This window comes from Homo sapiens, chromosome 13, assembly GCF_000001405.40.
Source record: "Homo sapiens chromosome 13, GRCh38.p14 Primary Assembly".
Taxonomy (NCBI): Eukaryota; Metazoa; Chordata; class Mammalia; order Primates; family Hominidae; genus Homo; species Homo sapiens.
The window spans coordinates 42,793,810-42,805,891 of record NC_000013.11 but is presented as its reverse complement, the minus strand read 5'-3'; the positions used below and the strand labels follow the sequence as shown (position 1 = coordinate 42,805,891).

Here is a 12,082-nt window from a genome sequence, read left to right as displayed (position 1 = left end):
AAGGCAGATCTTTCCCCACTTAGTCCACTCAGGCTCACACACTAATTGCCTCTGGAAACAGCCTCATAGACACACCCCAAAATAATGCTTTACCAGTTCTCTTGGTATTCCTTAATCCAGTCAAATTGACATCTGAAATTAGCTATCACATGGACATGGTGATATTTGGATTATATGTGGCTGGCAGTTGGGTAGCACCAGACTTGATCCCAGGTCTTCGGATGTAGAACTATCACCCTATCCACCAACCACATTGCTTTTGTTTGCAAGCAGAACTTTTGCTTTCCAGAAGTGGAGTAAAAACAAATTTTTTTTGGTTTTCATTGTGAGGATTCCAACCTTAACTCCACTGAGGATCATGAACAATGCTTCCAGAGAGGCAAAAGATTAGGGATAATTTGCATAATGCTAGTTAGTTCAATTTCATTAGATTTATTTAATAATCATTGAAGGCTGGATGTCATGCAGAACTTAGAGGGGATTGTGCAGAGAAATTAAAAGCAGGCTAAACTTAAATTGTTCATTGACGTCCCAAACCTGAAGCTATTAATGCTAGAACAGAATTAGATTCACCAGCATGTACCTGACGTGCCCTTTGGAAAGCATGTTAACCGTTTTACGTAAGAAGTGGCATTTCATCCAGGTTTACTCATTTGCATACTTGTGATTTCATTTGCATATATTTTACTGTGCAGTGCTCTGGAAATATATTCACTTATTTTATTCCCTCCTTTAAGTTCCTTACACCCTCTACAGTACCAAAGGACTTACATGACCAAATATTGAGGAAAATATTCTTGTTAGAAAGGATGACAACTATGGAGCTTCCCTATCCACCAATCTGCCATCAACATTCTCTTTGATTCTTTTAAATATCTAGTGGGCATGTTTTCCTATTTTCTATTTCCACTGCATCATCCTAGAACAGGACTTACTTACCTCCTAAACAGCCTCCTGGCTTCCAGCCAAAACCATCCAATTCAATCTATCTCCTGCTTTCTGCATACCTTCCCTAAAACACCACTTACCTAATACTCAGTGGCCTTCATAGCGATCTAATGGCATTTTTATATTAGGTTCATCACATTTCAAATTCTTAACGTCTGCCATGGTCACACTTCCAAAAATTTATAGCTGTTAGTATTTACAGCCATCTTCACTTTACCATTAAAGAGAAGTAAGACTTTTCTGACTTTGCTTTTCCCCTTCTTACATCCTCTAAGAAGGATTGTGTCCTTGCCTGCTCAGTTCCTCATGGGGGCAATGAGGAAAGAAAAGCAGAAAAGTATGAATAAGGACTGCATCAGAAGGGCTGGAAATTTCCTTTTCTTTCCTTATTATTTTTGGAACAGAAGAATATAGAGGTAGAAAGAAAAGGGGAGGGACTGGAAAGATGAGGGCTTTAAGAAAGGGTGAGATTTCAGGGAAAGACTTAGAGTTTAGAAAGAGTGGTTGAAAGTGAAACTTCTGCATAGCTTTCTAACTTGAGAGTGGCTAAGATAAAAAGTAGAGCTCTGCTGAGGTCAGATAGAGGGAGAGGACATCTAAGTATTAACGGAAAAACAGGACGTGGAGAGAGAAGTTAAGTGAAAAGTTAGGATATTGGTTTGGCCATTGTGACAATTATTGAAATAATAGTAGTATAAAAGAGATGAAAGCTTTATTTCTCTTACAAAAACGTCTGGTTTGAGGGTAGTCCAGGAGGTTAAGAGTGCTCTGTGAGATGAAAAAGGAGCCCAGGTTTCCTCTATCTTGTTGCTCTTGAAGGCATTGTCCTTGTCTATATGATCAGGGTTGGTCATCCCCTCCACATTCATATTCCAACCCAAAGAGGGAGGAGAGAGGAAGTAGAGCAAGTCTTCTTTTAAGGGCAGAAACTCTGAATTGCACACATCACTCTGTTGACATTCCGTTTGCCTGAACATCCTCAGATGGTGAAACCTACTTGCAAGAGAGGCAGGGCAGGATATTCTCTAGGTGGGCAGTTCAGTGCCACGCAAAACTCAGGGGAGTACATTACTAAAATAAATCAGGGAAGACTAAACAGAGGAACAATTAGCAGTCTCTGCACTTATAGTTAGATAAACAAAAGAGCCTAAATCTCAATAAGCTTGAGTTGGCTGCAGGGAGTTTGAAAGCTAATATGGTTTCAGATTGCAGAGGTGTGTGTGTTGGTTTTACAGGGGAGCAAGGCAGTAGAAAAGGAAATCTTATAGAGTAAATCTGTATATTTAGTGTAATTGACATTGTAATATAGCAGGACACACTCTGGGGTTCATGACTCTAGCTCATAAGTATGTCTTCAGTTCAGGGGTGAGCCAACATTTTCTGTGAAGGGACAAATAATAAATATTTCAGCGTTTGTGAGCCATGCAATCTCTGTCAAATATATTCAACTCTGCCATTGAATTACAGAGGCAGCCCTAACAATATGTAAGCAAATAGGCATGGTTATTTTCCAAGAAAGTGTTATTTATGAAAACAGGCAGTGGTTCAGGTTTGACCTGTGGGCCTTAGTTTGCTGCCCCCTGCTTTAGTCTATTGCTTCTGAATCTAGTATCTGGCCCCATCTAATATAAACCTGCCATCTACTACTTACTTATCAATTTATTTAACTGAGGATGCATTCTATGCTAGGCCCTGAGATACAAAAGTGAGACATAGTACCTGAAAACAGGGAGGTATTGTCTAGAAAGGAGATATACGAGGAAGTAATTTCAAAGCACCCTGGTAATTTCTACAATAGACATATGGGCCAGAATCTGTAGGAACATGAGGGAAGGTATGCCAAAGCTTGCCTGAATGTCAGGGAACGCTTCTCAGAGGTAAGGTATGCAGGGACCTGAAGACAAATGGAAGTAGCCCTTTCCAAGGAGGAAAGAAATTTAAGGGGAAGAAATGGCATGTGTGTGAAAATGAAAGAGTTTGGCATGTTTCTAGCACCACAAGTGTTCAAGGAGCAGAGGAGAAGGCCTAGGAGTTCAGACTATAAAGGTCATTTAGGATCATTCTAAAGAATTTTGCTTTTTCTTATAGATAATGAGGATTATTGAGAAAACATTCAATCAGGCAGTAATGGTTTCACATCTGAGTGTTAGAGTGATGCCTCCTGAAGGAGTGTGTGCCATGGATGGAAGGGGTGGAAGACTAGAGCAGGGATGCCAGTGAGGGTTAGCATGTGTTTAGGAGAAAGAGGGCAGGTGGCTGAAACTAGTGGCCAGCGACAGGCTGGTACGTTAGTCCATTCTCACACTGCTATAAAAAGCTACCTGAGACTGGGTAATTTATAAAGAAATTATAAAGAACTTTATAAACAAAATATGTTTAATTGACTCACAGTTCTACAGGCTGTACAGGAGGCATGGCTGGGGAGGCCTTAGGAAACTCACAATCATGGTGGAAGGGCAAAGGGGAAGCAGACATGTCTTCACATGGCAGCAGGAGAGAGAGAGTGAAGGGGGAAGTGCTACACACTTTCAAACAACCCAGTCTTGTGAGAATTCACTCACTATCATGAGAACAGCAAGGGGGAAACCACCACCATGATGTAATCACCTCCCATCAAGTCCCTCCCCCAACATTGAGAATTACAATTCAACATGAGACTTGGGTGGGGACACAGAGACAAACCCTATCAGGAAGTAAATTTAAAAAATTGATTCAAGAGATTTTTGGGAGTTTAAGGTGATATAAACTCTTGCAAATTGTATAGGGAGAAGAAAAATCAAGAATGACACCCAGAATACTGACTTGAGTAACCAAGTGCATGGTGGCACTTATCAAGACAGAGTAGAGGACACAGAAGGACTAGGTTTTGGGAATTTCATATGTATTTGATATGCTTATGGAAAATCTAGGTGGAGTCTATCATGCAGTTGTCAGTTGCTTGGGAGACTAGAACTACAGACCTAATCAACTAAGAGGCTTCATTTTGGGGTGGGGAAATGCAATTACTTACACTCCATTACATTCTGGAAAATGCAACTTACATGATCAAAATGAGCAAATACAGAAGTCCAGGGAAAATCAAAATATGGATATAAGATATAAAATCAAACCAAAGTCTGCCCATGTTTATAATAGACTTCAAATTTTGTGCTACAATTCCTTATAACCAATGCAAAAAATGAGGCAGTCGCTTGAATCACTGTATCTGTAGGACAAACATCAGTTATTTAGGGGAAGCCACTTGGTCTAGGTACTGAGACTTTCCAACGTGATGTGATGAGGAAATACCCCAACAATATCCTCATAGAAAATAAAATGTTTCATTGGACTTTATCTTTGGCTCTCAAAAAGGTCAAACTAAAGCAAAGTTGTACCAGACCACTTTTATATGGGTTCAGTCATTCTCAATTCATTCATCTTCTTCATAAAATGCCTAGGTCAATAACCCTTCAAGGGTGTTGTGATAGAGAACAGAACCAGGTGGGATCCATATGACCTTCTGGTTCCCAGCATAGCAATATCAAGAAAACAATATAGCCTTACAGACTGTTGTCTTAAAGAGGACGGTTTTCTTCTCTCATCTTATGGATTTTACTTAACTATATTTCTTTATATTTATACATTTAAATTGTTTCTCTGAAGAAGGTCAACATTACAGGGCAGATAGTTTCAAAGTCACTAGTTTTAGGCCAGAAAAACTTTTCTTGTTTAAAATGTTACAAATGGATCAGTAGAATAGCTGTTGCTATGAGCCATTAACTGGAACATGAGAATGGACTTGTACTGAATCATTATTATCCAGCACTTTTTCCTATTTCTGTAAAAAGGTTAGCTGAGTAAACTTAGAGTCTGAAATAGACAAGGAGCAGATTATCTAAATTAGAACATATGTTCATCACTTTTCTCCTCAAAAAAGAGCATCTCTCAACAATATGTTTCATCATCTTGATTATCCAGGTTTTGTTGTTCCCATCTAAGCAGAATCAGATCCCTCATGTGCACTGTGAGAATATCCTTAGTGCTTGTTGCAGTAATCTGCATTTATTTATAATTATCCTTCAACCTTTTATGATTGGAAGATGTTGGGAATTGAGTTGGTGAAGACACACGGAGAGATATGTGGAAAAATGGGGCATATGGATATAACAAAGAGATTTACTCCACTTGCTTTTAGCTTAGGTTTCTGATACCTTTCCTCATAAACTGTTTATTCTCATTTTAAAAATTATAAACTTACATCTGGAATTAAAGACTTTTTGTAACCTACAATACATGAAAAGAAAATGATCAAAGTGTAAATACACAGCATTAAAAATTGTTACGTGCAAATACTCAGGTAGCTATCATACAGACCAAGAAATATGATTTTGGCAGAATTCCAGAAATATCCCCCACCACACCCACATGTCTCTTCCCATCATCAGTTCCTCCATGCCACAGGAATCACGACTCACTTTTATGATCATCACTATGCACGCCTAAATATTGACTTTTTGAACTTTCTGTAAATGGAATCATTGAATATGTATCTTTTGTGTCTGATTTCTTTTATTCAATCTTATGTTTTTAGAATTCATCCATGGTGTTGTGTGCTACGATGCATTCATTTTCATTGCTGTGTTAAATTTCACTGTTTGAATAAATCCCAATTACTTATTCATTTTATTATGTATGGACATCTGAGTGCTTTCCAGTGTGGAGCTCCCCTGCCCCTCACTTCTTCAATCAGTCTTGTTGCTCTTTGGTAATGCGATTTCCACAATAAAAAAGGGTTGGAAAGAGGAGATGAGGAGGTTTACTTACTGTCAGCCATTACAAACCTTTTCTGGAAAACTATCTTCTATGAAGTCATTTGACCACACTTATCTTTTAAAAAATATATAATTTTAACTTTTATTTCAGATTCAAGGGGTACATGTGCAGGTTTGCTACATGGGCATATTGTGTGATGGTTTAGAGTACAATGGATCCCGTCACCCAAATAGTGAGTATAGTATGCAATAGTTAGCTTTTCAACCCTTGTCCCCTCTCCTACTCTCCATCCATCCCCCCTCTAGGAATCCTCAGTGTCTGTTGTTCCCATCTTTATGTCCATGTGTACCCAATGTTTAGCTCCCATTTATAAATGAGAACATGCAGTATTTAGTTTTCTGTACCTGTGTTAATTTGCTTAGGATAATGGCCTCCAGCTGCATTCATGTTGCTGCAAAAGACATGATTTAATTATTTTTAATGGCCGTATAGTATTCCATGATGTATATGTACCTCATTTTCTTTATCCAGGCCTTACCTTTTGATCATACGTGATACATAAAAAAGTGCCATGCAAAATGGTAAAACACTGAACATACTGAGTATTAGTTATTCTGTTATCACAATTTTTACACTTTTAAAACTAAGATTAACTAGTTAGCTAGCATTAATGAATGTGCAGAATATCAGGTATTGGGTGCTAATCCTCCCAAAGCTATACAAAGTAGAAACTATAATTATCCCCATTTTACAGATGAGAAACTGAGGCACAGCAGTGGAATCACTTACATGCAATCACACAGCTATTAAATACTGCATTTAGAATTCAGCCTAGATAATCAGATTTCATATTATTTTCTTAACTATTGCACTAAGTACCCTAACTAAGAACAAGCATGAGGAGAAAAGGTAGAACTTTTACTTCTGATCAGGTTACATTTGTAAGATCATATGATACTTAGTTCTTTCTTTTTTTTTTTTCTTTTTTCTTTTGTTTTTGAGATGGTCTCGCTCTGTTGCCCAGGCTGGAGTGGAGTGGCACGGTCTCAGCCCACTGCAACCTCTGCCTCTCAGGTTCAAGTGATCCTCCCACCTCCGCCTCCCGAGTATCTGGGATTACAGGTGTGCACCATCACACCCAGATAATTTTTGTATTTTTAGTAGAGATGGGGTTTCGCTATGTTGGCCAGGCTGATATTGAACTCCTGGGCTCAAATGATCCGCCAGCCTTGGCCTCCTAAAGTGCTGGGATTACAGGCATGAGCCACTGCACCCAGCCAGATACTTAGTTCTGATTTAAAAACAAAACAAAACAAAACAAACAACCTTCACATCGATACAACCACAATGACCTATGTTAGGGCAGAAGAAGGATTTGTAGGTAGGGTCCCCTGCAGCTTGTTAGGACTTCATTTTTCTCTCCCACCAGACCGAGTCCTGCAAACGTAGAAGGTCTCAAGAAAACCACTTCATCAATACTCACACAGGAGCAGATCCTATCGTCTACAGCCACAGCTTCCCAGCATTGGTGGAAAAGGTCAGCTTGCAATCAGTCAGCCCGTGGTAGGTAGTCTGGGCCACAAGGTTATAAGGTAAACAGCAATGACAATCTAAGCAGAGGCATTTCACTCCACACAAAATTTGCAATGCCTTCCGTAGGACCTGCCTGCTCATCAGCACTCAATAAATGTCTGGTGAATGAGCTAGAAGAAAAAAAATATAAAACTGGCTTGACTGATTTTATGAAACTGAATCCTTTTGCCGTTATTGAGAATCATTAGAAGGTCATTCTGAGCAAAGCTCTGATCTCCACGCTTTCCCCCTCTTTGGAAATGTGTTATTCTTTGGGACCTGCTGTGGGCGTGCTCATAAACAGTGCCGCACATCGTGCTTCCTGGCAAAGCATTTGTTTGCGGTTGTGTAGACATAGCTATAAATGTGTGGCATTGTCTTCTGGCATCCAAAAGCAAAAGCAGTGAATTAAAATCCTGATTTATTTGTATGTCTCCTCTCTTCAGTTGAATATCTTGTTCAGAAGAGTTATATTAATATGATTTATCACAATAAACAGCACGGTTCCTGCTTTAATTGATTTATCTTTTTCTTCATATAAAAATTCCCTATATCTGTTCTGCACCAACTTTAAATGTCTTTTTCACCCCATAGATCTTTGTTGGCACTGATAATTTCTACAGAGATCAGATTTTTTTTTAATACAGTCTGCATCTTAAATCATTCATTTTCTCATTTTCTAAGTGCTGACTATAATCATCCTTACTTTTACTGAAATTAGCATGAGTTTTAAACAATTAATCAAAAAAGAAGTGGAGTGGGTTTTTTTCTTTTTTAAAAAGGCTTTGCTGTTCTTTGTGGATGAAACAGTTGGTAGTTTGTTAAGAGATTTTTATCTGAGTTTAATTCCCTAGCTTTAATGTATTCTTAACTGTTCTAAATGAAATGGTTTGTCTTAAATGAAAGTGTATCTGTGGTAGCATAGTTATATCCAGTCTTTAAAATGGATCATTTCATTTCATACATGCTATAGAATCTTGAATTTCACCTTTACTCAGCTCAATTTCTTTACTAAAAATGACTGTTGCTCCAAATTCCTACATCAATGGATTGGCTATATCAAATTGTAGCAGTAATTGTTCATAAGTACATATTTTATAACATGTACTAATAGAGTAATAAAATATATTGCAATAACAATATGCTCTGCCTGATAGAATTTCATCATGAGACTCCATTAACACATTCAGCTGGTATCAGCTTGTGAAAATGCCTTCCATTGTGGTGGAAGGGAAATACTCTGTATGAGTGAATGGAGAAAATGGGCTTGAGAGAGGAATTTCTAGGAAGCCTAGGTAGAATGAAAGAATCAGAACCATGAATGGATGCTGAGCAAACATCTTGGACATTCATTGTGCTGCGCCTGCACTTTCCTACCCCTTAATCCTCACCCTTCGCAGTCCAGAGGCTGCCCTCAAACCTGAATAGAGCTGCTCTCCTAAGCTCACCAACCAGGCTCCTACCCGTGATGGCTTAACTTACTCTATCCTACTTTCCGCATGCAAGCATTAACCCTTTCTTCTTTGATTTTCCTCTTCCCTTGACCTCTGTGAGGCTAACTCTCCTCCTACTTTTCTAAATATTCACTCTGGCTCCTCTTGGGCTCCATGCTGCAACCCTGCCTGTACCCAGGTCCTCTCCCTAGTTCTGTTCTCTTTTGTCTGCTCTCCTTCCCTGGTTTGCTCCCCTCCATTCACCTCAACACCGCTTCCAGGGCTGACCTCTCTCCTGTGTTGTGGCACCCATGTGAGTGCCTGTGAAATGCAGGGAACTTCAACTCAGCTTGTCCCAAACCAGATGATGTTTCACTGTCCCCGACATCAGCTTTTCTTCTGAGGGCCGTTTTCCCTGTGCTTTTTACTCTGGTCTCCTGTGATCCCCTTGGTCTCTTTTAGTAGGAGTTTGGCCTCAGAATATGTTAGGATATTCCACCCACTCGAGTTGGGTTCTTCTGGCACCAGGCCTTTTGTTTGTTTTCCCTGTATTTCATTTCCAAGTTCAGTCCTCCTCATTTCAGCTCCTGGAATGTTGGGGTACACCCCCGAAATGTTTCCCTGATTTCTTTTTTTTTTAAATCTGACTTATCCTGCCCAGTATTGGAAATCAGTCCTCATAACATGTTCTCAGGCCAACCTCCTACTAAAAACAACTCCAGTGACTCCCTATTTTCTTCCAACTAAAGTTAGTGCAGTTTCTCCATGACTAAGCCATAATTTCTTCCTAGACTTGTTTCCCACTACTTGCGTATATGTGTTCTCTGTACTTCAGCAAAAGTTAATTGCTTGTAAACATCATAGTTAATGAACATTATTCCTGCTGTCTCTCAGGTTTTGCAAATATGTGAACATATAAAATGACCAAACCACATAAGAACCACATAATATACCCCATTTCGCCACGAGATACTTAATCAAAAACTTATAATTTTGAAAAAAATTAAACTTGTATTTTTACTTCTTTTAATTATGTAAATTCTCTGAAGAATTATGCTAAATTCTAAAATGACTTTCTTTTTCTGCATATTCTCTTCTTTTTGTGGAAAAGAATCTGATGGCTTAAACCTTGAAGCCTGACTCTCTCTTCCATGAATTAAAAGCTGTTTAACTTGCATGGATTATACACATATTCTTTTGACCTTAATTCTCTGACTGCATTTTCAGCTCTCTAGTCCTTCAGTTAGAAAATGAAGCCACATTCAACACCTGCTCTACACCTTTTACACACCATCTGAACCCGCAGCATGCCTCCCAGCCCCCAACCAGCCCCAGCCCCTCCCTCCCTGCCTGACCTTAAATTTTGTGTTTCAAAGACACCTCCTGAAACATAGAGCTTTGCCTTCTGATCTTTACTTTCTTACGTAAATGCACAATGCAACACATATTACCTTACTAAATTTAAATAAGTTATATATTTACAAGAATGTGATTTTTTTCTTAAAGAAAGCCAGACTTCTGAAATATCACCGACTTTCAATGATACCTTGTCAAGTCATTTTGATTGTCCTTCTGGAAAATCAGATATCCAAATATCCTGCATTACATTATTATTATTATTTATTATTACTATTATTTTGAGATGGAGTCTCACTCTGTTGCCCAGTCTGGAGTGCAGTGGCATAATCATGATCTCAGCTCAGTACAACCTCCATCTCCCGGGTTCAAGCGATTCTCATGCCTCAGCCTCCCAAGTTGCTGGGACTACAGGTGTGAGTCACCACGCCTGGCTAATTTTTGCATTTTTAGTAGAGATGGGGTTTCACCATGTTGGCCAGGCTGATCTCAAACTCCTGACCTCAGGTGATCCTCCCACCTCAGCTTCACAAAGTTTTGGGATTACAGGTGTAAGCCACCTCGCCCAGCCCATTGCGTTATTCTTAAAGTAGGAAATTTCTTTCTTTAGGACTCTCCATTTATAATCAGGTACTTGGTTGCCCTCAGGTCTCCCATGATCTATGAGCCAGGAGGATGCTAAGGAACTCACACCACATAACATCTGAGTGTTTGATTCCATTGCAGTTGGGTAATTGCCTGTGACCCTGCACCTAATCTGTGGTTTTCAATAGCGACAGGGATTTCTTCTACTTCTGACTTGGCTGAATCCATTGTGTAACTGGTGTGGTGTGATAGCTCTAATACGGAGAAAAATGAGTGACAATTCTCTAGAGGCAGACACAGGATTGATTTTCAACACAGGGATTGATTACATTTCAGGCAACTGACTGTAATTTAGTGGGGGAAAGCAGAGTCAATGAGGCTGATATAATGGTTTCCTCTACAAGCACCGATGCAATTAGCAACTCATTTTAATTGAAAAGGTACAGGAACTCTTGAACACATTCCTGTGGCCTTCATCACAAAACACAGGCTGCTAGGAAAAGCCAAGGATTCATTTGGTAACACTGTAATGCATATTTAGTAATACCAAGGAAAAAGAAACCATTTTAGTAGGTTCAGATATTGCTTTAAAAGATATCATCAGTTCAACCAGCTTTTAAGTAAGAATAATAAGTAGTTTATCTACATGAGATATTGAGGGTTATCAAGGAGATATTTCCGCTACCCAAAAAAAGACTCTAATCACACAGCTCTTGCCCCTAAATTTTTGCCAAATTTTCCAAATAGAAATTTATTTTTTTAGGGTTAAGGCATATGACTAATGAAGTCACTCCATAAATGCAAAAGGCCATTATGTTTTAGCAAACTTAAGTCACCTGGGATACTATCTCTAAGACTCTGATCCTGATTCACTGGGTCTAGAATGGGACACAGGAATGGAATTTGCATTTTCATTAAGTATCCTCAGTGAGTTGGGTATGTGGATTGTATTCTAATAAATACTGCTCTAAATATATAGATTATGTAATAATCCTAGGTATTAATTATTAAATATTTGAGACTTATTTCATATCATTTTTCCCCAACAGCATACTGGAAAATTGGAATAAAAAACAACTAAGATTCAGGAGAGGGTCATGGAGGAAAGAAAATGAGCACCATGGAACAGTTGCCTGAGAAGACAGGCTCAGGTTAGTGTCTCTGCAGGGAGCACTAATTGGGTAGGCAGAAATCAGAATAGGTGTGTTAGGGGCATGTGGTAGGCAACAGGGTCAGGACTAGGGTAAGGTGAATGAGGTATCTGATGGGATTCACTCTCAGGGCTGTGCTAGAAAAAGTGTTACCTTCAATTTTGCACCCCTGGCATGTCACTCACTTCACCCTAGTCCTGGCTTTGGTAGATGCTTCTGAAATGGCTCCCAAAGAGCCCACCTTCTGTATTCATACCTTTGACCATGTACCTTTGTGTGGGACTG

The 12,082-nt window shown here is 39.2% G+C and overlaps 1 long non-coding RNA gene across 1 annotated transcript, besides 1 other annotated feature; it reads left to right on the top strand.

Moving 5' to 3' along the window:
- Positions 1,454 to 1,573: an enhancer, noted in NCBI's record as "active region_7655". NCBI's record gives its function as "activates an Ori minimal core promoter by ATAC-STARR-seq in GM12878 lymphoblastoid cells {active_cell/tissue: GM12878}" and the evidence as "EXISTENCE:reporter gene assay evidence [ECO:0000049][PMID:35858748]".
- On the top strand, positions 5,851 to 11,852 carry LOC107984611 (uncharacterized). The gene is made up of 3 exons (XR_001749851.3): positions 5,851 to 5,932; positions 7,130 to 7,263; positions 11,696 to 11,852. It is a non-coding gene; the product is annotated as an uncharacterized LOC107984611 (long non-coding RNA).
- Positions 11,853 to 12,082: the final 230 nt, after the last annotated feature.